General features: G+C 39.6%; 1 protein-coding gene and 1 pseudogene across 5 annotated transcripts in view; one reads left to right on the top strand and one right to left on the bottom strand.

The window, feature by feature from the left end:
• TMPRSS7 (transmembrane serine protease 7) overlaps positions 1-17,106 on the bottom strand; it is a 46,534-nt gene extending 29,428 nt beyond the window's left edge. The window contains exons 1-9 of one of the 5 annotated variants that reach the window (NM_001395507.1): positions 16,949-17,106; positions 13,521-13,770; positions 9,792-9,922; positions 7,520-7,587; positions 5,899-6,092; positions 4,830-4,868; positions 3,875-4,103; positions 1,868-1,998; positions 1,059-1,171 (exon numbers count right to left, since the gene is read on the bottom strand). In NM_001395507.1, the coding sequence (NP_001382436.1) occupies positions 1,059-1,171; positions 1,868-1,998; positions 3,875-4,103; positions 4,830-4,868; positions 5,899-6,092; positions 7,520-7,587; positions 9,792-9,922; positions 13,521-13,770; positions 16,949-16,996 (1,203 nt within the window). In that variant the 5' untranslated portion in view covers positions 16,997-17,106. The other 4 variants (NR_026734.1, XM_011512754.2, NM_001042575.2 and 1 more) reach the window with 4 other exon arrangements.
• Positions 17,107-20,144: 3,038 nt separating this feature from the next.
• LOC124906250 (riboflavin kinase-like) lies at positions 20,145-21,009 on the top strand (annotated as a pseudogene).

The following is a 21,009-nucleotide window of genomic DNA, read 5'->3' as shown; positions in this document are numbered from 1 at the left end:
CCTGAATGAACAGAGGTGACACTTTGCCCTGTCTCCATGTGATATTATAGGTGGAGAAAGAAAAAGCAGTTTACTAAGATTTTTTTTAAAAAAGCATAAATGCCCTATCTAGCACCAGAGGGAGAGATAGATAGATAGGTAATAGAGATAGATAGATAGATAGATAGATAGATGATAGATAGATAGATAGATAGATAGATAGATAGATAGATAGATGATAGAGATAGATAGATAATAGAGATAGATAATAGAGATAGATATAGATAGATAGATACATAGATAGATAGATAGATAGATAGATAGATAGATAGATAGATAGATAGATATTTCGTATACATTTGCACTCTGGTTTGCTTATACAACTGAAATATAATAGAGTTGTCCCTTAGTATCTGTGGAGGATTGGTTCCAGGAACCCTACAGATACCAAAATTCTCAGATACTGAAGTATATTATATAAAATTGTGTAGTATTTGCGTGTAATCTATGCACATCCTCTATATACTTTAAATCATCTCTAGATTACTTATAATACCTAATACAATTATATTCTATATAAATAGTTGTTATATTGTATTGTTTTTTATTTGTGTTATTGTTTATTGTTGTATTTTATTGTGTCTGTTTGTAAAATGTTTTGATCTGTGATTGGTTTAATCCACGGATGCCAAACCTGCAGATACAGAGGGCTGACTGTATTGCCTAATCCAATTTATTATTTTATTATTATTCCTATTACAATGCTGGTGATTAAGTAATTAAAAATTGATAAATGTGCTCTATCATAATACAATAATTGAACCTTCAATAATGCCTTTGCATTTTCAATACCAACAAAATAAATTTGAGAAAAAGGCCCCAGTCTGCTAAGAGTAGTTAATTTGTGGGCAGAGGGTTGAAATTACAGAAAAGTGTTGCATTCTAAATAATATATTTCAATAATACTGAAATTTTATAAAATTAAGCAATATTCTTTTGTAATTAAAAAATGAATGAAATTCATGCTATTAAAAATAGAGCAGTAATATTTTTCTAAGACACTGGTAGAACTAGGCTACCTGAAATTTCCAGGTACACTTGCATTTTGGAGGATAGTAGCTCGGGTAATATGGGCTTGAAATTTTCCCTTCAAAGCCAGTGATGTCTTTGACCAACACTGTGTTTTCACACTCTGGAAAAGATACCCAGTGACACACAATGATTTGCAGCTGTGAGATTATGGAAAATACACTTCATACATTTCTTTAATTACTAAGGCACACTTCCTTGATCGACAAGCTTTATACATTTCTTAAACTTTGGGTTTTTTTTTTTTTTTTCAGAAGAAAGGAATGCCACCCTACAGATGTATAGCTAAAATGCTTATTCTCTAATTCTATATTTGTTTTCACATCATATGTTTTGGCTGCAGATCTGCAAGATGCTATTACTCTCTTTAAAAACATAGTTCTGAACTCAGAGACACCAGCAGCAGCTGAACAGCAATCCCTCCTCAGAGGCCTGAGTTCCATCTCTCATATTCCCTCCTCTAAGCTCTAAACTGTAATAATCTCAACCTCTTTCCTTTGTTCACCCAGCCTTAGGGATGATAGTTACTTTCTGCACATGTTACATCCATGATACATTTCTCTTCTTGTCCTTTTTGCCTTTTGAGTAACCTTATTGACACCTTTATATGAAGTTAATAGTTCTTACAGAATTCATTCTGTCTAAATAACTAATATGGTCTCTCTCTTCTGACTGGACCTTTATTCAGAGTCCCAGACTAATACAATGAATATTACAACACAGCTTCCAGAAAGATAAGAATAGCCTATCATTACAAATATTTCTAAAAGTGACTTCTCCATAATTGGGGAAGACTTACTTTGTTCTGGAATGACCTCAAAATATGCCCGGATTCCTGAGAGCCTCCGTATATGAGGAGACTTAAATGTCACCAACATGAGATTATTTGTAGAAACAAATGACATTAATGTTCTTGTGGGTTCACAAATTCTGAAAGCAGATAATAAAACAAAAGTACATGAATAATACGTTATTTGAGAAATGGGTCTCCATTCAAAACGATTCCACACATTTCCTGGGCCATCCATTCAATCCATCCACTCAGTTCTTGGGAATCTCTCCCAGCCAGATCCTCATCCATTAGTAGCCACAGAGCACTACAGAGCCAGAAAAGGTAGATACATTTTTGTGTAGGAACCTCTACCAGAGAATTCTCTGGGATGGCTGTCACTGTATGCTCCTTGGGCACAAATACGGCATAAAAGTAGTGTATCTAATGGCTAAGGTCCTGGACTCTGCTCTAAGGAAAACTGGACTCAAAATTCAGCTCCATCACGCAAATGGATGAAAGATGCCAGGCTTAAATCTTTGTAAGCACCAGTTTCTCTTCTACGCAATGGTAGTGTTACCAGAAAAAAAGGCCATGTGTGTTGTCCAGGTCCTTGGCATTTTAAACAAAGAACTGAACAAAATGCACAAAGCAACAAAGGAATGAAACACAAAAATGAGAAAGGAAAGCAGGGATTTATTAAAGCACTCCACAGGGTGGGAGTGGGCCAGAGCAAGCGGCTCAAGGGCCCAGTTACAAAGTATTCTGGGTTTTAAGTACTCCTTGTGAGGTCCCTATCAGCTACCCCTTATCTCGATGAAGGGTTTGGCCCATGGCTAATTAAAGGCTGAGGTGAATTGGTGCGGTATGCAGATGAAGGAATGGCCCGGGCTTGACCCCCAGCCAATCCAGGGTGCTTTCTCTTTCCACCTGAGACGTGGCGGAAGCGGCAGGGTTGTAGAGTGACCGGGCTTTTCCTTTTAGTTTAGCTTTAGGAAGTTTGTGTTAATTGGCCTTAAGTTCCCTGCCCCCAGATCTTCTTGTTTCCCCTTGAATCAGCTTTAGGAAGTCAGCACTAATTGGCCTTAAGTTCCCTGCCTTCAGATCCTATTCTCCTGCCTCAGTAGTAATAATAATAGTATGCTCCTCATAGCATTTTGCTGAGGATTAAATGAGATAAGTAAATATGTCTGAAAGGATGAAAAGAAGCTGATGATGGAGGAATGGGCATCAGTGGCAAACTTACTTTTCACTGCATATTCTTATATAGTGTTTGAATTTTTAACATGCACATTCATCCCCAAAATATAAATACCTGCATACACACATAAAGCATTGTTGCATACATCCATAGACACGGTTAAAAATAATAGGATGATTTATGTACCTTTTTAGCACAGTGAGTAATAATTTCTTAATGAAGCCTAATTCATTATTAGTTTACCAAATATTAAGCACCCATAAATAAATATCTACTATTAAGTAAAAAATACTAGGGTATGTATATGTGTGTGTAATTACACATACATGAATGAAAGGATTTATGCTAAAATATAACAGAAATTTGCTCTGAATAATGAGGTTGTGAAGTAATTGATACCGTTTCCTCTAACCTAATTTTCTACAATAAACATGTGTTATCTTTGTAACGAGAAAAAAAATTTAATTGTTTACTAATGTGATGCAATCATCATAGGATATTTATTCTCACACTGTTGAAATAGTAGACTTCATTTTTATTCCAATAAATGTAAAATTAAACAAAGTATCTGTTATATTTCAGGTATATTGGCTGACGTTCTTGCTGTACTGACTTTGAGAGTATTTGCTATAAGTGGAAAACAAACATTGAGACTGATAGGCTCTGGCGAGGGTACTAAAGTATAGGGGATACTAAATAGGGCACGGGTCAGCCATTGACCTCATGTGTGCACACAAAAACTGTTTTTAAAAAAAAATCCAGGGGGAACACAGATACTGTAAAACAGAGGTTGTGAAAAATATTTTTACCCACCAAGAAGAGTACCTGCATCGTACCTGTACAAGATGCTGCTCCGGATGGGCAAAAGGGAGTCGTAAATGGTCAGGGAGTCAGTGACACAGTTGTCGGCTTCGATTTGGATGGACTTGATTGAGAGACGAATCAGGTAGCCCACTATGGCCACCAGCTTGAAGTGACACATCAGCCTCCCTGAGGCTGCAGAAATCTCCAGCGGGTAGTGGAGAGACAGATGCTCTGCATAGAAGTACTGAGAGCAGCCTTTGTCTGTGGAGACAGCACCATTTTCCTTTATTTTCTTTTTTTTTAGGAATGACTTTTATAAAAACAGAAATCTTTATAGAAAAGTAAAGGGCAAAAGAGGTCATGTGAAGGACATATGGCCAGCCTAGGTCCACTTCCCTGCCTTCTGGTAACAGCCCAGCATTTTGCCTTTAGAAACTATCCACACTCTGTCTATATAGTTTGGTTGGGGTTAAACTCACCCCTAGTTTCAGAGGTGGGCACATAACCCAGGCTGGCCAATCAGAGTCAAAGAAGTCATTTCAAGAATAGGCATGTCAGTCAATCCAGACAATGAGAGTCAGCCCCAGGACTTCTGCAAGAGCAATCAGGAAATACGTGGAGGTGGTTTTCATCATGGTTTAGAAAATGATAAATTATAAGTTTGGATCTGCTTGGTGGTCCTTGTTACAAATACAGTGGAAGAGCACACTTGATAAAGAAGGCTCCATAGAAGTAGGCAGAGATGCAGAGTTCTGATGATATTTTTATTTTAGATCCTAGACTCAACCATAACTAACGCCAGCACACTCCATGTATGTCCCACTTACATGAGCCAGTCAAGTTTCTTTTGTGCTTAAGGCAGTTTGAATGCATTTCTGTCACTTGCAATTAAAAGAGCACTAACAAATACCATCAATTAGAAAATGAAAATTACAGCCAAAAACAATATTAACATGGGGGGAGGGGGAACCACATGAAAGAATTTACCAGATCCTATGGTTGACGAGTAATCCGACCGAAGCCCAGCTGCATTGAAAAAGCACATGAGAAGAGATTGAATCCTATCATTTCATTTTGTTAGAATTTTGCTTAGTAAAAATTATTTTCAGTCCTTCTTTAAAGGCAATCAAACACATCTGGGATTTACTTTAAAATAATCCAGTGAGGATGAGGTAGTTGTTCAGGTATTTAGAGATCAAATAGAATAGTCATGAGTGAGTTGGTAGTTGTCGAGGTTGAGTAAAGGGTGTATGAGAGTTCACTATACTATTCTCTTTACTTTTGTATCCTTGAAATTGTAGTTGCAAGTTTCAAATATTTTCAAAGGTAAAAAAGCAACCAAACAAATATGATATTAGTCCTATATATGAAATAGTACATGAGATACAGAATTTTCTATGAGATTTTTCCTTTATTTAACAAATATTTGTCAGCTACCTACCATATGCCTAGTGTATGTGTGTGTGTATAATATACTTATATATTTTTAAATACACACAAATTTATAATATACTTATAACATGTTCATATATGTATTTTATCTATAAAATTTAAATCAAAACAGAAAACTGCACAAATTTTGAGTTATGCAATCATTAAACCATTTTACTATCAAGGCAAACAATGAAATTTGCATTTGGGGCTATGAAGCAAGCTGTTTTGGAGTGTTGGACAACATTACACAGTAAAGGGACAGTTCTGTCTGGGCAAGTAAAGTAACAAGATAAACCTCAGCAAAATTCTTCCTTGTCTAGGGTTTTGTTCTTTGGGGACTTAGTTTGATGATGCATGACCTGAATAAAGGTAGGTAGAGGTACACAGTAATACATTCAATTTCGTATGTATATTGTCCCCACATCTATTGTTCAATTGCAATATACAACATTTAGCAATTTCCTTTACTAACATAGCTCCAATGTCTTTAGTTAATCCTGCGCCACTGGGATTGTGGGGTAATCCCACATTGTAATGCTTCATTACAATGTTGACTATAATCATGGCAAGTATCAGGAGTCCTGCAGGAAGGAATGCTAAAGGAAAATTACCCAACAATCACCATTTAGTACCACAGAGTCCATGTCCACAGCCAGTCCCTGCAAGCTCCCCACAGAGGTCCGGTTTATGATGCTTGTCTGGATGGAGTCCTTCAAGATGGCGGCAACACAGTCTTCACAGAAGATGTGGCCTTTGGCACGTGGCATGACAAAAACAATCCAAAAGTGGACAAGGAGGCCGCCTTTGTTGTTGCTGCTATAACGAAAAAAGAGAGATCATCAGGGACCTCATAGGACTTTACAGAGAAGAAATACCCAGATGATGGATTCAAGGTAAGGCCAATGAGCACATCCTTCAACTGAAGCTAGCTCCCTTCTTTAGGTAGTCATTGACGTCTGTTATGAAGATTGGCAAAGGACAGCATCATGTTATATGTATTCAGACCATAGTGTTGGATTCTAATCTAAAACCATTACTGTAGAGTTGCGTCTCCATGGAGAATATGCTATTTCTATGGATATCAATCAGTATTCACTGCCATTAAAATTTAAAACCATGGCTGGGCATGGTGGCTCACGCCTGTAATCCCAGCACTTTGGGAGGCTAAGGCAGGCAGATCACCTGAGGTCAGGAGTTCGAGACCAGCCTGACTAACACGGTGAAACCCTGTCTCTACTAAAACTACAAAAATTAGCCAGGCATACTGGCAGGTGCCTGTAATCACAGCTACTTGGGAGGCTGAGGCAGGAGAATTGCTTGAACCCGGGAGGCAGACGTTGCAGTGAGCTGAGATCATGCCATTGTACTCCAGCCTGGGCGACAGAGCGAGACTCTGTCTCAAAAAAGAAAAAAAATTAAAACCATTACAATGTTTGATACTCTGCCATGTCCGGGGACTGTGCTAAATCTGCTTTATCCCATTTAATCTTATGAGAAGGTCCCATTATTATTCCAGTTTTATAGGTGAGAAAACTGAAGCCGAATACAACTCCAAGTCACATAGCTAGTAGCAGATCCAGTAATTAAGCCCAATTTGGTTTCCAGTCGGCCCCCAGAGCCTGAGCTCCTAATGACATAAATACTGCCACGTTTTAGGAAAGGAACATAACATGGCATTCTGCAGGAAATGACTTGGGAAATGGAAGGTTAAGGAAACTAATCAAGTTGCTATACTCCAAGGCTTCTCAGTGCTTTAATATGTCAAAGTGGATTGTGGATTGTGAATCTCTGCAGATATATTGGGAGTGGGTGGGGGTGGGATATAATATATGGTGCACGATTTTTTCTAAAAATTATTTGACCATGAATCCCCTTTTTTCTCAGAAGATCTCTAGTGACCAGTTTTTCACTGAACATTAAGAAATCATGGTCTGTGCTTTATTTTTGCCTCCACCCTCCACCCAATATGATAGACAAGTTTATGGCCATTTTGCACAGCAGCACTGCTATAGGGGTTCAGGATTCTAGCTATGGGGAGAAGGTCGGGATTTGGTGGATAAAGAGCAAAAACACAGCAAGAAAGAAGGGCAGTGAGTTGAGTCGCTAGTTGTGCTAATACAGTATGAATCCCCAACCACTTCCAAGAAGTTACTTGGGAATGGTGGAATCTCAGCCTTTTCATAGCCTTGAATGGACTTTAGAACAATGAACACAGAAATCTCAAAACAAGGGACATGCATTACCTGACATCTGCAACAACAGACTGCTCATAAAATTTGGAGAAGGCAGATGTTGTATAAACCAGGTTTATCTGAAAAAGAATAGTTGAGGTATCTGAAGTATTTCATACTTGACTTCCTTTTACAGTATCTTAAATGTTGTAGGCCCAAGCTCTGACAGCCAGCAAGAAGAAATGCAAGCCTCAAAATAAAGGCTCCTAACTCCACACCCCGGCATTATTTCTTGAATTCAAATAAATTCTTCCTGCAACAATCTTGAGTGACTTACTTTCATTCTGCTATCTGTGAAAAATCAGTGAAAAGTCATTTATTGCTCTCTTTAAACTCAAACTTAACTTCTGTATTCTCCCCACTGCAAAGGTTAATTTTCCCCACAGTTAACAAATCAAACTCATTTAAGTACATTTTCATAGTACAGTAGTCTGACCCAACGTCTTTTCTATCAGTGCACCAGCGTCGACCATATTCTTAAGGACACATTCTCACATTAGCCACTAGGGGGCGAGTGGTACCCACAGCCAGGTCTACCAGCCCCCTTCATAACAAACTCTAGGGAAGCGCCCCAGCCATTTTAAAACTTCATAATTGGATCTCAAGGGAGAGCTCTGTTTCAATCGATTTACCTTCTTGGCCCTTACCTAGCATTTCTAAAAGCAAACTCACTCTCTTCTCCCCAGTCATTTTCTCTAGTATTCCCCTTCCTATGTAATTTGAAAACCACTTACATAATTGCCCAAGATTTAAAAACAAAAAAATTTAACCCTTAGAAATTATGAAGTGTAGTGGAAACAATATAAGCTGTGAAATTTAAATTCACTGTGCAACACAGAACATGTTGCCTAAACCTGTTTAGGCAGGATTTTTTTTTTCTTTTTCTTTTTCACCTATAAAGTGGTAATCAAAACACCCACCTCCTTGGGATAATTTTAGAAATAATTGGTATACAGTCATATGCCACATGACATTTTGGTCAATGACAGACCACATATATGACAGTAGTCCCATAAGATTATGATGGAGCTGAGCAACTCTTATCATCTAGTGATTTGTGTTACAATTGCCTACACTGTTCAGTACAGTAACATGCCGTCCAGGTTTGTGGCTTAGGAGCAGTAGGCTATACCATCTAGCCTGGGTGTGTAGTAGGCCATTCCAGCTACGTATGTGTACACACACTCTATGATGTTTGTACAACAGTATCTCCATTGTTAAGCGACACAGGACTGTATAAATATTAGAGGCAAAGGGTTTAGTGACGTACCCAGTATATAGCAGGCATTCAATAAGTAAAAGCTGCTCTGAGCACTATTGTCTTTGATGTGCCCTCTCTCTCACCACCTTTCCTCATTCTACACAGCCAGTCATTGTGTCAAGTTCATCACTATGACAACCCTCTCCAGTACCGTGGAAATACAAATTGACAGCAACGTTCTAGTTGGTAATATGTGCCAAGAGCCATGAATAGATACTTTTCTATTTGTCCAAGTAATTATGCTTTTAGGAAACCACCTAAGGGAGTAGTCAGAGATACTCACAAAGAATGTGGCAGTTTTGCTGTCACATTATCTATAGCAAAAGTTGGGAACAGCCTAAACATCCAATAAATAGGGATTTGCTAACTTTGAGTCTATTGTAACTTATATTTTTTAAAGGAAGATTTACGTGCATAGAAGCATGCAATAGCATGCTAAGAGAAAATGTTAGTTTATAAAACTGAATATAATATTCCAATATTGCACTATTCTCTATGTCTGTGTATTTCAGAATAAAAAGGGGCTTTGTCTCCGGTGATGACATTAAAGAAGATGTTAGTTTTTAAAACATAATCATCTGAATTTTGCTAATTTTTATAATAAATATGTATTAGTTCTACAATGAGAAAGTTATTTTTTTACAATGAAGAGATTGCCAGGGCATCAAGGTTGAAATAAATGTGTACAATAATGGAATTAATCGGTATGCATCTAACTTCAGAACTGGAAGGTGTTTTAAAGGTCATCTGATTCCAATTCTTTTATTTTACGGTTCAGAAGAACTGAAGCTGAGAGAGCCATTCTTTTTTTTACATTGGAGCATGGGGGCAGGGGGAGAAATTCTATCTTATAGCCAAGATGTGCTAGATTTCATGTTTTCTTCTGACACCTTCCTTTGTCTACCCTGCCCTCTACTTCCCTAAACCCTGCTCACCTGTGACACTTGTGTTCCCCTCCAGCTTCATCCCCCACCTCCCCGCAAACCCACTCTACCCTAATACCCTCTACCTCCATCGCCTCACCACTTGCTGCACAGTCCGTGACACTGAAAGAAATTCCCTGGACTCCTTTTGTCGGTATTCGGGAAGAAACTCAATGTTGGTGATGCGAAACATCCCAGCAAAGTAAAAAGCATCTTTGCTTTCTGTTTTACCTGTAAAATAGGAAAGAACAAGATTCGGAGGCTTTCCCATCTGTGTGGCAGTAAGGAATTGTCTGAGCTATGTCAGTATGAGGCTCCTAAAATAATTTTATTTTAGGCAGCTACATACTAACTGGTTCAGAGCCTGTGAACTTTTAAATGTAGGTAACAACATCTATTTCATCAGCAGCAAATAACCGTATCTCAGAATATTCCTTCTGTCCACTCTGGCAAATACTTAAGAGCAAGATTAAAAGGATCTCATGGCCCTTGTGTGTTACTTTTCTGTGGCCCATATATACCCTGCTTTATCATAATTTCTCTCTGTCTCCTTTATGGGCTCTCTGAAGGAATAAATGGTAATTTATTTTGATTCCTCAGCCCCTAATGCAGGGAGTGCCTGGCTTAGCTTTGAAGCTCAATAAACATTTGAGGGAAGGAAGGGAGGGACAAAGTGGGTAGAGGGGGAGAGAAAGGGAGAAAGAGTGAGAAAGAGAGAGAGAGAATATTTCCTCTTAGCACAAGGCCCAGCACATGGAAATGCTAAATAAATGATGGCTGAATTAAAAAGAATTTGCAACTGCTGTGAGTGATAGGAAACAGCTTCCCCTCTAAGATCCATTCAAGGTCACTTTAGCCCTAGGAAGTGTAGGGAGGCTGGGGAGGGGAGGAGGAAGCACGGGGTAAGGGGCAGAAGGATTGAACTCCTGTCCTTGATTTGTTTTTTCAGGTAATGTGACCTTGGACTGATCACCTTGCCTCTAGGCCGACCATATAAAACAACAGTTGTTTTTTGGTTTTTGGTTTTTTTATTTTTATCAGGGAAGTGCGTCCTAGATTTTTTTTTTTTTTTTGGTTGCAGACTCTAAAATTCAAATGAAAGCTATGACTTCTTTCCAGAAGCTCACGCATCCTTCTCATATCAGTAAGTACTCTACAGTCAGAACAATAACCATGTAAGAAAGATCAATTAATTTAGCATTCAATCAGACTACATTTACCTAACTCTTCAGTTCAGCCTAATGTACAAGATCCTCCGTAGTCTCCCTGTTTACCTGTTTCTCTGTCTACCTCCTTTTTCAAGGCCACCCTCCATGCCCAGATTTCCTGTATCAAAACTAACCTGATTTCTATTGAAAAATTCTTACTGGTCCATACCAGTCTCCCTTTGCTTGTACTGATCTGTTTCCATGAAGTGGCCTTCTCTGATTTTTATAAGCCAACAAACTACATCTGCACAAGGATGTTCTAAAACTTTATGTAAAAATGCTAGGACAGTGCAAATGTGTCAGCTGGGGAACAGCAGAGAAACCACGGCAAATAAGCTTCTTTGTTCTGGGTTGGGGTTGTGTGTGTTTGTCTTAATGGCCCATTGACTTGACTTCCCCACCAGTTTCCTCAAGGACAGAGATCTTATCTTGCTCACCACTCTGCTCCCATGCCTACCCCAGGACCCAACACATAATGAACAGTCTCAAGATGTATCAAATGAATGTTCGGGAACCAGTTCATGAACCCTTCTCTGGATGCCATCCCTGGGCAATTTGGATGTCTTTCTTCTGTCATCACAAGATAATCACTTAAGCAAAAAAACTCACACCTTCTCTCTAGCACTGAACTCTGAACTTTCTGAAAGTAGAAAATGCATCTGTGAGCTTTCTGAAGGTAGGAGATGCATCGTGGTGTGTTTGATGCCCTACATTCTGCCAAGCAAATCACAAGTGATCAATTTATGTGCATATAAGTGACCTGAACCGTTCAAGACAGTATTCCTTCATTCTTTGCCTGAAAGTCTTCCCTTCCAATCAGATTTTCATATCTCTGAGAGTACATCTAGGAAAACTGTTTCTCTACCCATAACACTTCTGTCACCAAATGTGGGGGTGGGGGCAGGGGTTCCGCACACCAAGCAACTCTCCAATTCATTGCAGACACCAACTGGATGTCCAATGATTCAATTCAATTCTGACACCAGCTACCAAGAGTTCGTGTCAGACCCCAAAGGTTAAAGGCACATTCTTACTAGACTGCCCCCCAATGCAGATCCCAATCAGAAGTAGTAGGTCCCCAGGCTACCCACACTGCTGTCCAAATTGGCTACAAATTGGCTGTTCTCATAAAGCCCTCAGGTTTCATAATTTGCTAAAATGACTCACAGAACTCAGAGAAACACTTTACTTACTATTCCTTCTTTATTATAAAGGATACAGATGAGCAGCCAGATGAAGAAGTACCTACAGCGAGGTCCAGAAGGGTCTCTAGAGTAGGAGCTTCTGTCCCTGTGGAGTTGGAGCATGCCACCCTCCCAGCAACTGGATATGTTCACCAACCTGGAAGCTCCTTGGTTTTTACAGAGGTCAGTTTTAAATCATTGTGCATTCGTGATTAAGCTCAATCTTCAGCCCCCTCTTGAAAGTTACAATCCTCTAAGCATGTGGTTGGTTTCTCTGGTTACCTAGGGGCTTTCAGCCACCAGTCACTTTGTTAATATACAAAAAGACATTCTTAGAAGCTCTGTGTTAGGATCTAAGGACTACAATCAAATATTATAACAAAATGTATGTATATAAACCAAAAGATGCTCCTATCACTCCTATCATTCAGGAAGTTACAGAATGTTAGAAGCTCTGAGCCAGAAATCTAGGGCACAGAATAACTATGTATTTCACATTATATCATGGTGCATGATTTTGTATCAAATACATTAACATGTATAGATGGCAACTCCGATACAAGTCAACAAAGGCTATACTTGCAGTGTTGCATAAGTGAGAACTCTATAGGAAAGGGCTTAGTTATGACACCTGTCCAAAAGGATCAGTCAGATCAACAAACACGTAATAACAGAGGAGAGAAAGATGCATGTGCAAAATGGAGCTCAGGGAGCCGGAAATTCAAGGTTGCCTAGAAACAGGTGGTGGGTGGAATGAGGAAATGAAACAGCTTAGCATTCCATTAATTTTTTTAAAGCTACAAATGCATTACATTTCTGAACCAGTCAAAATCTCCTGAGCATCCTTCTCAGCTCTTCCCATCCTATCCCCAATCTCCTCCTCTTGCTCTCCTATGGGGAGAAAATGGTGTTGGTAAAAAAAAAAAAGAAATGAGAAAGAGAATTCTGGCTTATGTCTCCTTAAAATATCAACACCAGGCCGGGCACCATGGTTCACGCCTGTAATCCTAGCACTTTGGAAGGCCAAGGTGGGAGGATTGTTTGAGTACAGGAGTTTGGGACCAGCCTGGGCATCATAGTGAGAACTCTGTCTCTACAACAAACTTTAAAAGTTAGCCAGTTAGCCCAGGTGTGCTGGCATAGACCTGTGGTCTCAGCTACTCGGGAGGCTGAGGCAGCAGGATTGCTTGAGCCCAGGAGTTCAAGGTTGCAGTGAGCTGTGATTGTGCCACTACACTCCAGCCTGGGTGACAGAGCAAGACCTTGTCTCAAAACAAAATAATAAAAAACCATCAACACCAGTTTTGGAAATGGTGTATCCATATTGGAAAAAGGAAAATCCCATCAGAAATACCTATGGCAGATTAGGGCTGCATTGCTAATGCTGGACTCATACCATAAGCCCTAACCCCAAAGAAACACAGATTTTTAACTTACTGATATACAGCCACAGAAGTGTCCAGGCTATGACTGCTAGGATGAATAAAAATACTGTGAAGAGAATGATTTTATTTTGTACATTCCAAAAGGGAACTTTTTTCTTGGATTGCTTCTTGGGTTTGGCTTTGCCAATGGGTCTTTGTGGTGGTCGTCTTCCTGGCAATGGTAGTCGTCTCCCTGGCAACGGTGGTCGTCTCACTGGCAGCTTCTTTTGGGCACTGACCACTTGGACTGAGATATTGGATATCTTCAAAAAAAAGAAATAAGATATGTTACCAAGTAGAAGTAGACAGGATCTTAAATGAAACTACCCAGTCAGGAGATGTTGGTACTAAAAGGCCTAAATATGACTATTTAAGCATTCATATTTATGTAAGTATATCAAATTATTTACATAAGTATAATAACTTGATTTGCACCAAGTCACAAAATTAAGATCAGATAAACTAGACATTACTGTATACAAACCCTAGTGAAATGGTTTCTATTGGGGGAACCAGCCCCCGATATTTCAATGTAGGTTCTTTTCTATTTTCCCTAAGTGTCGGCCGGTCTGAGAAATAAAGAGAAAGAGTACAAAAGAGAGAAATTTTAAAGCTGGGTGTCCGGGGAAGACATCACATGTCGGCAGGTTCCATGATGCCCCCTCAGCCACAAAACCAGCAAGTTTTTATTAGCGATTTTCAAAGGGGAGGTAGTGTATGAATAGGGTGTGGGCCACAGAGATCACGTGCTTCAAAGGCAATAAAATATCACAAGGCAGAAGGTCAGAGCAAGATCACAAGGTCAGGGTGAAACTAGCATTGCTAATGAAGGTCCACATCCTGCTGGGCACACATTGTCATTGATAAACATCTTAGCAGGAAACAGGGTTCAAGAGCAGAGAACTGGTCTGACTAGAATTCGCCAACCTGGAATTTCCTAATCCTAGCAAGCCTGGGGGTGCTGCAGGAGACTAGGGTGTGTTTCATCCCTTATCTGCAACTGCATAAGGCAGACACTCCTAGACGGCCATTTTAGAGGTCTCTTCCTGGGAATGCTTTCTTTTCCCAGGGCTGTTAATTATTAATATTCCTTACTGGGGAAAGAATTTAGCGATATTTCTCTTACCCATTTTTGGCAATAAGAGAAATATGGCTCTGTCCTGCATGGCAGTCAGACCCAATGGTTATCTCCCTTGTTCCCTGAACATTGCTGTTATCCTGTTCTTTTTTCAAGGTGCCCAGATTTCATATTGTTCAAACACACATGCTTTACGAACAATTTGTGCAGTTAACGCAATCATCACAGGGTCCTGAGGCTACATACATCCTCAGTTTACAAAGATGACGGGATTAAGAGATTAAAGTAAAGACAGTCATAGGAAATTATGAGAGTATTGATTGGGGAAATGATAAATGTCCATGAACTCTTCACAATTTATGTTCAGAGACTGCAGTAAAGACAGGCGTAAGAAATTATGAAAGTATTAATTTAGGGAACCAATAAATGTCCGTGAAATCTTCACAATTTATGTTCTTCTGCCATGGCTTCAGCAATTCCCTCCATTCAGGGTCGCTGACTTCCCGCAACAGTTTCTAGGTTCTTTCCTCAACTCTCCAACTCTGTTGAATAGATGCTGTGGAGGAGAGGCCTGAATTTCATGGGGTAAAGTAGATTAGAGGACTTGAAGGTTAGGAGGTTAAGGTTAAGATTCTATGTGGGTAGAATCATGTGTGTACACAGCCCCTCCCCCCTCCTTTTTTTTTTTTTGACAGAGTTTTGCTCTTATTGACCAGGCTGGAGTGCAATGGAGTGATCTTGGCTCACTGCAACCTCTGCCTCATGGGTTCCAGCGATTCCCCTGCCTCAGCATCCCAAGTAGCTGGGATTACAGGCACTCACCACCACACCTGGCTAATTCTGTATTTGTAGTAGAGATGCGGTTTCACCATGTTGGTCAGGTTGGTCTTGAACTCTTGACCTCAGGTGATCCACCCACCTTGGCCTCCCAAAGTGCTGGGATTCCAGGTGTGAGCCACTATGCCTGTCCACAGTCCTTTTAGTATATGTGTGTGTTTCACATGTTTGTATTATATTGTTTTTCTCTCACAATCAATTATTTCTGGGCTGATGCAGGATTGAAAATAAGAAGATAAGTGAGTTCCCCACAGAAATGAATTGATTTCCTAGTTACAGCTTCATGACTGGGTGGTAGGAAGGAAAAGTAAAGGTGATATGATAATTTGCATAGATTGTACAAATTTGTGCAATTTGTAACTGCACAAATTGTTCGTAAAGCATGTGTGTTTACATACGGTTGTAGGGTTGTGGGTTTATAGGAATTAAATATGTTTGTTTTGCCATTGCCAGCCGCTGCCATTGCCAGCCACAGTTTCTCAATTATAAATGAAATAATTATTTAAAAGTAAATGGAAGAATGAAATAGAACACTCATTAGATTAGAAAATTGTTGGTTTAAGTGTATTGATGTGCATAGTGTTATGTGCAAGAGTAAAAAATACATTATTTAATTGTTTCCCTTCCTCCTCTTTTATTTTCTTGTCTACCCTCTGCTATTTGATGCTGTGAATTCTTTAATAATGTATTCAAGAGTTTAGCTTCATTTAAGGAGAGATTTATACAAGTCAGGGTAACTAAACTCCAGAGACGAAATAGCTTTTAACCACACATTCTTTTAAAGGCAACAATATGGAATGCCAATGCCAAAGAAATAATCTCTCTTTTGCACTGTCCTTAAGAGTTCTCTCCTTCTCTTTTCCTCTCCCTCACTCTTCTCTTCAAAATTCATGCCCTCCAGTCTTTAATCTTGCCAATTAATGGGATAATACGTGGCCACGTACACTCTGAATTATTCATGGCCCCTTCATTCTTTTTGCCAAACACCTTGTCAACCCCTGGAGTGAAGTGTTGCTTGTATCCTTTCTGGTGAAATTGAACTAGACCAGACATCATTTAATGTGGTGTCCTGCAGGAATGAGGACTGGGTTTCTAAAGAGAGAAACATTCCATTGTAGAATGAGTTGTCGATGGTATCAAGCTACTTTCAAGTGCTCCCCCAAAAGAAATAAAGAAACACGCAGAAATGCCAGTACATGTTGAACTGACAAAGCCAAGTTTGGATCTTTTAAGTGCAGAAACACATTATAGGCAGTCTCAGTTAGCACTGATTAAATTTTAAAATGGAATTTGTGTAGAGATCAGTACAATTTCCCTGGAGTTTTAGAAAAACGGCTACAAATCAATTGCCAAGTACAGCACTTTATAATAAGCTCACATTTGTAAAACCCATTAATTACCATAAGAAGATAAAATATTTTATTATTGTTTCCTTTATGTTTATAAGGTCATACAATCTCATTTTACTAACAGGGTCAACAATAAATGGCATTCAAGTAAGAGAAAGTTTCTCACCCTGTACTTACTTTCAGGTCAGCAGGTGCGGCTGAAACATCGCTGTTTTCTTTGTCCATTATTAGGCGTTTTGTGTGTGATCATCCAGGGGTGTCTCAAAGCCAGTTTTTGCCCCTTATATGCTCTCTTGAGAAGAATTGAGAGAACCGTCACCGCATTCAAGCTAGCTTTCAGAGGAGTGGAATCAATTTACCTCCACCGGGTTCAGTTCAGAAACTGAAGCCGCCTCATTGCTATATTGTAAATGTTAAAGGGACCTAGCACTCAGCTTTGCACCCCAAACTCAAGGATTCTCAATGTAACTTTCATAGGAGTCAGGCCTCTCAGAGTACAGCCAGCCTCAAGGCAAGGTTTTCTTATAAGAAACACAATCCTACAATCCAGTAACATTTAAAAATCATTATAATTTTTTTCTTGCATCTCCTAAAGAATATGAAGAGGTCTAATTTACAACCCTCAGCACCACATCTGAGAAGTCCTCACACCTCATTTCTCTTGCGTGGCATCTCTTGCCTGCTCCAGGAGACTCACTCTTCAGTCCTGCTCTCAACTCTCCAGCCATACTCTCTGAGAACTCATAATCCAAAGGGACTTTTTTCCATTTAGCTCCCCCTACTTCTTGCAGTCAGTCCTCAGTAAACCTGGGGCCCTTTCTGCTGTAAAGCCCCTGTTTCCATCTCTCCCATACTTCCCAATGTCAATCTGAATTAGATCCATGGTGGGAAGAATAATCCAATCCTGAGGGGCAGTGTCAGAATTTCTCTTAGCAGACGGGGAGAAAAAGGCAGGGATTGCTGGAACCTCATCACCCTGTGGGCACTGGGTGTCAACAGAAAGCTGATCTGTCACGCTTTAAAGGAGAAACACTGTTCTGCTGATCCAGACACAAACTTCAGCATCATTCACGGGCTGTGCATATGGCAAGTGAGAAACTGCCTGCTGAAAGTGGGGAAAGATTAGTTGAGTTGCTTCATACCTGAAATTTGATCTAACTTGGGGAAGATGAGACAGAATAACAAAAAAAAAAAAAAAAAAAAAAAAAGAATTAAGTCATGTACAAATTCGCCTCTTGGGTTTTGTTATTTATTATTCACATTGATGAAATTATTAATAATGGTTTAGACTTTATAATATTACTTTTAATGGCTCATCTTTCCAGTATTATTTCTCTACCTATTTCTAGAACTAACTCATATTTCACCAATATAAGTAAAATTTGTATACTTATCGGTGGCCATTGACAAAGACTCTCTTCTTGACCAAAGTGTTGTCAGGTTACTCTGAGCTCTCTTTTCAACTAGACCTTGTCCTTGGGCCTTGTCTTTGGCCCATCTGGTCAGTTTAGCAGGAATCCCCCCGCCTTGATATCTGATCACCCTTGATTTTGCTTTCTTTTTCTTTTCTTTCTTTCTTTCTTTCTTTTTTTTTTTTTTTTTTTTTTTGATTCAAGAGTGGCCTTGAAATACCCTTGATATCTGATCAAGTTCTTTATCCCCTACCCTTGATATGTAAGTCCTTGGCTGCCTGTAACAAGAATCCTGATTGGTCAGTTTAGCAAGGATGCCCCTTGGTGTTTCCCCTTAGTAATTTTCCAACCATGGACCCCCTCACTCTCTTCATTGACTACTAATCCCCAGCTTTCTTTGCTGTATTTGGAACTGAGTTCAGCTCTATATCGAATTCACTTTCTCCCGTTGCAACAGTGCTGAAGAAAATCTGTCTTTACAGCCTTTAACTAGTGTCCCCCCATCCTTTTTTCCCTTTCACACCACCAAGTGTGAAAAGTGGCAGCAAAATATCAGGAGGCTGTGTTAAATGTACCAAATTTAAAAGCAATCATAAAACCAACCAAAGGCTGCTTTTTCACTATCATCATGCCAGCAATTCTAAATAATGTCAGTGACAAAATACTCCTCTCTAAAAAAAAAAAAAAAAAAAAAATTGCCATGAGTTCTAAACAATCACTGCCACTACAACTGTTTGAATAATACTTATTTAAGTGTATAATGAGCAATTCCTATTATTCATTTTTTAGTAAGTGATGAATGTCATGCAGAAATTAATTTGGAAATCTCCCAACTGTAAAGTTGGTCTCAAACATGTTGTGGGTAACAACTATCTGGGGCCAGTGGTGCAGGTGGTAAAGGAATTTCCCAAGACAGTTGTAGGTAAAGAAAGGTAGATTTATTAGAGAAAGTAAGAAAATACATTGCAAGAGAGCAACAGGCAGATCAGCAAGAGAGGAGCTGGCTGCGAGGAGACAAAGGCTGGCTCGGGATTTTACAGGATGGTGCTTGTGCTCAAGAGGGCCACGTGGAGTGCTGATAATGCCAAGGTCACAATGAGCTAACTTGCATTTTTCTATCAGTCAAGGGTCTGGTGATTAGTCGGGTGCAGGAAGATTGTGAGTTATTTGAGTTACTTGTGCAGGAGGGCTACATGTCTTGGACCATGAAGAAAGGCAGACTTACAGCTCATTTGCTTTCTTCTTTTTGCTTTCCCCTGCTTCCACCAGCCCGACTCCTTTTCCCTAATTAGGACTCCACAGAATACAAGATGACTGTGACACATGTTCATTTCAAGAGTAAGCTTCTAATGGTCTGGAATCATTTGCACATACTTAGGGCAGAGTCCTTGCCTCCAGCAATCCCTGTGGGATTACATATTGCTGCATTTAAAGGGAAGGTTCAAAACAAGCAATAATAGCACAATGATTGTAAAGACCAAGAAACAGAATTTCAGTTATTTCATTTGTCCTTCTATGTGACCAATGAGTTAATTTATATTTAAAATTTAATACAGTTACAGGGTATGAATTGCAAGGTGTAATATTTTTATATGTAATATTCTGTATGCAGTATGTATTTTGTTAATTTTATTTTTGCTAGCATAATTATATATACAAAGTTGACTAAAATTTTTCACTTTTTTTCTCATCAATATTATTATTAGTTTTATTTCATGATTCCTCCTGAAAACAATTTTACTGTATAGGAGAAGAGATTGTTGAGAAATGATCCACTCCAAGGAGAAGCAGCCCCTGAGTAGCTGGGCAGCTTCTGTAGGGTCAACAGTGTGAAGGACCTACCACAGGGTGTCGTTGGCACCGCCTGGTAACTGGTGATTCCATCGGCCAGCAGAGCTCATACCCACATTCCCAGATTAGTCCACGGGGTCCAGGTACTACCTCGACTGTGGCTCTTCCAGATGCATGGAGGCTGCACCACCGCCCATGCCCTGAGTGCATGGTATCAGAGGCACAGGCCATACTTCTGCTGGAGCCAAGTGGTGCAGAGCCTGGGCCACTGCTCCAAGTAGCTGGGCCTCCCCACAGCTAACTATCCAGAATAAGTGGTAGATAACCTTCCAACTGGTGTATCCACATCATTTATCATGGTTGGGCCAGTTTGGAAGTGGAAATGTCCATAAGATGGTGGTGAACATAGGGTGGAATCCATACTGCAAAAATACCCAAAAAATCCACAAAAACTCCTACCATGCATGCCTTTAAAGAGGACTTCTGGCTGGGCACAGTGGCTCATACCTGTCATCCCAGCACTTTGAAAGGCCAAGGGAGGAGGATCACTTGAAGCCAGGAGTTTGAGACCAGCATGGGCAACCTAGCAAGATCCTGTTCGTACAAAAAAAAAAAAAAGCCAGGTGTGGTGGTTCGCCATTAGTCCTAGCTACTCTTTGGGAGGCTGAGGTAGTAGGATCTCATGGGCACAGGAGTTTGAGGCTGCAGTGAACTAGGACTTCTGTGGGAAAATCCTCAATGTGACTATCGTTGACTACCTCATAAAGGAAATTACTAATCAGAAAAAAACTTCTCGGATTCTTTAGAGTCACTTGTTTCAGCAATTCACGGTGATATTGAGGAAGCTAAGAAATGATGTGATTTACCAGAACATTTGAAACTCAAAGAAGACAATTTCTTCCAGGTTCCTAAAAGCAAAATGATGAATGGCCACTGATGAAAAAAATCATCTTATTTATTCATTCACTCTTTTCTAGTGAAAACATAACTGCTCATAACTCTGCAGTCTCATCTTGGTTGTATTTTAAAAACCAA

This window comes from Homo sapiens, chromosome 3 (genome assembly GCF_000001405.40).
Source record: "Homo sapiens chromosome 3, GRCh38.p14 Primary Assembly".
NCBI lineage: Eukaryota > Metazoa > Chordata > Mammalia > Primates > Hominidae > Homo > Homo sapiens.
This window is presented reverse-complemented; position numbering and strand designations above follow the sequence as displayed.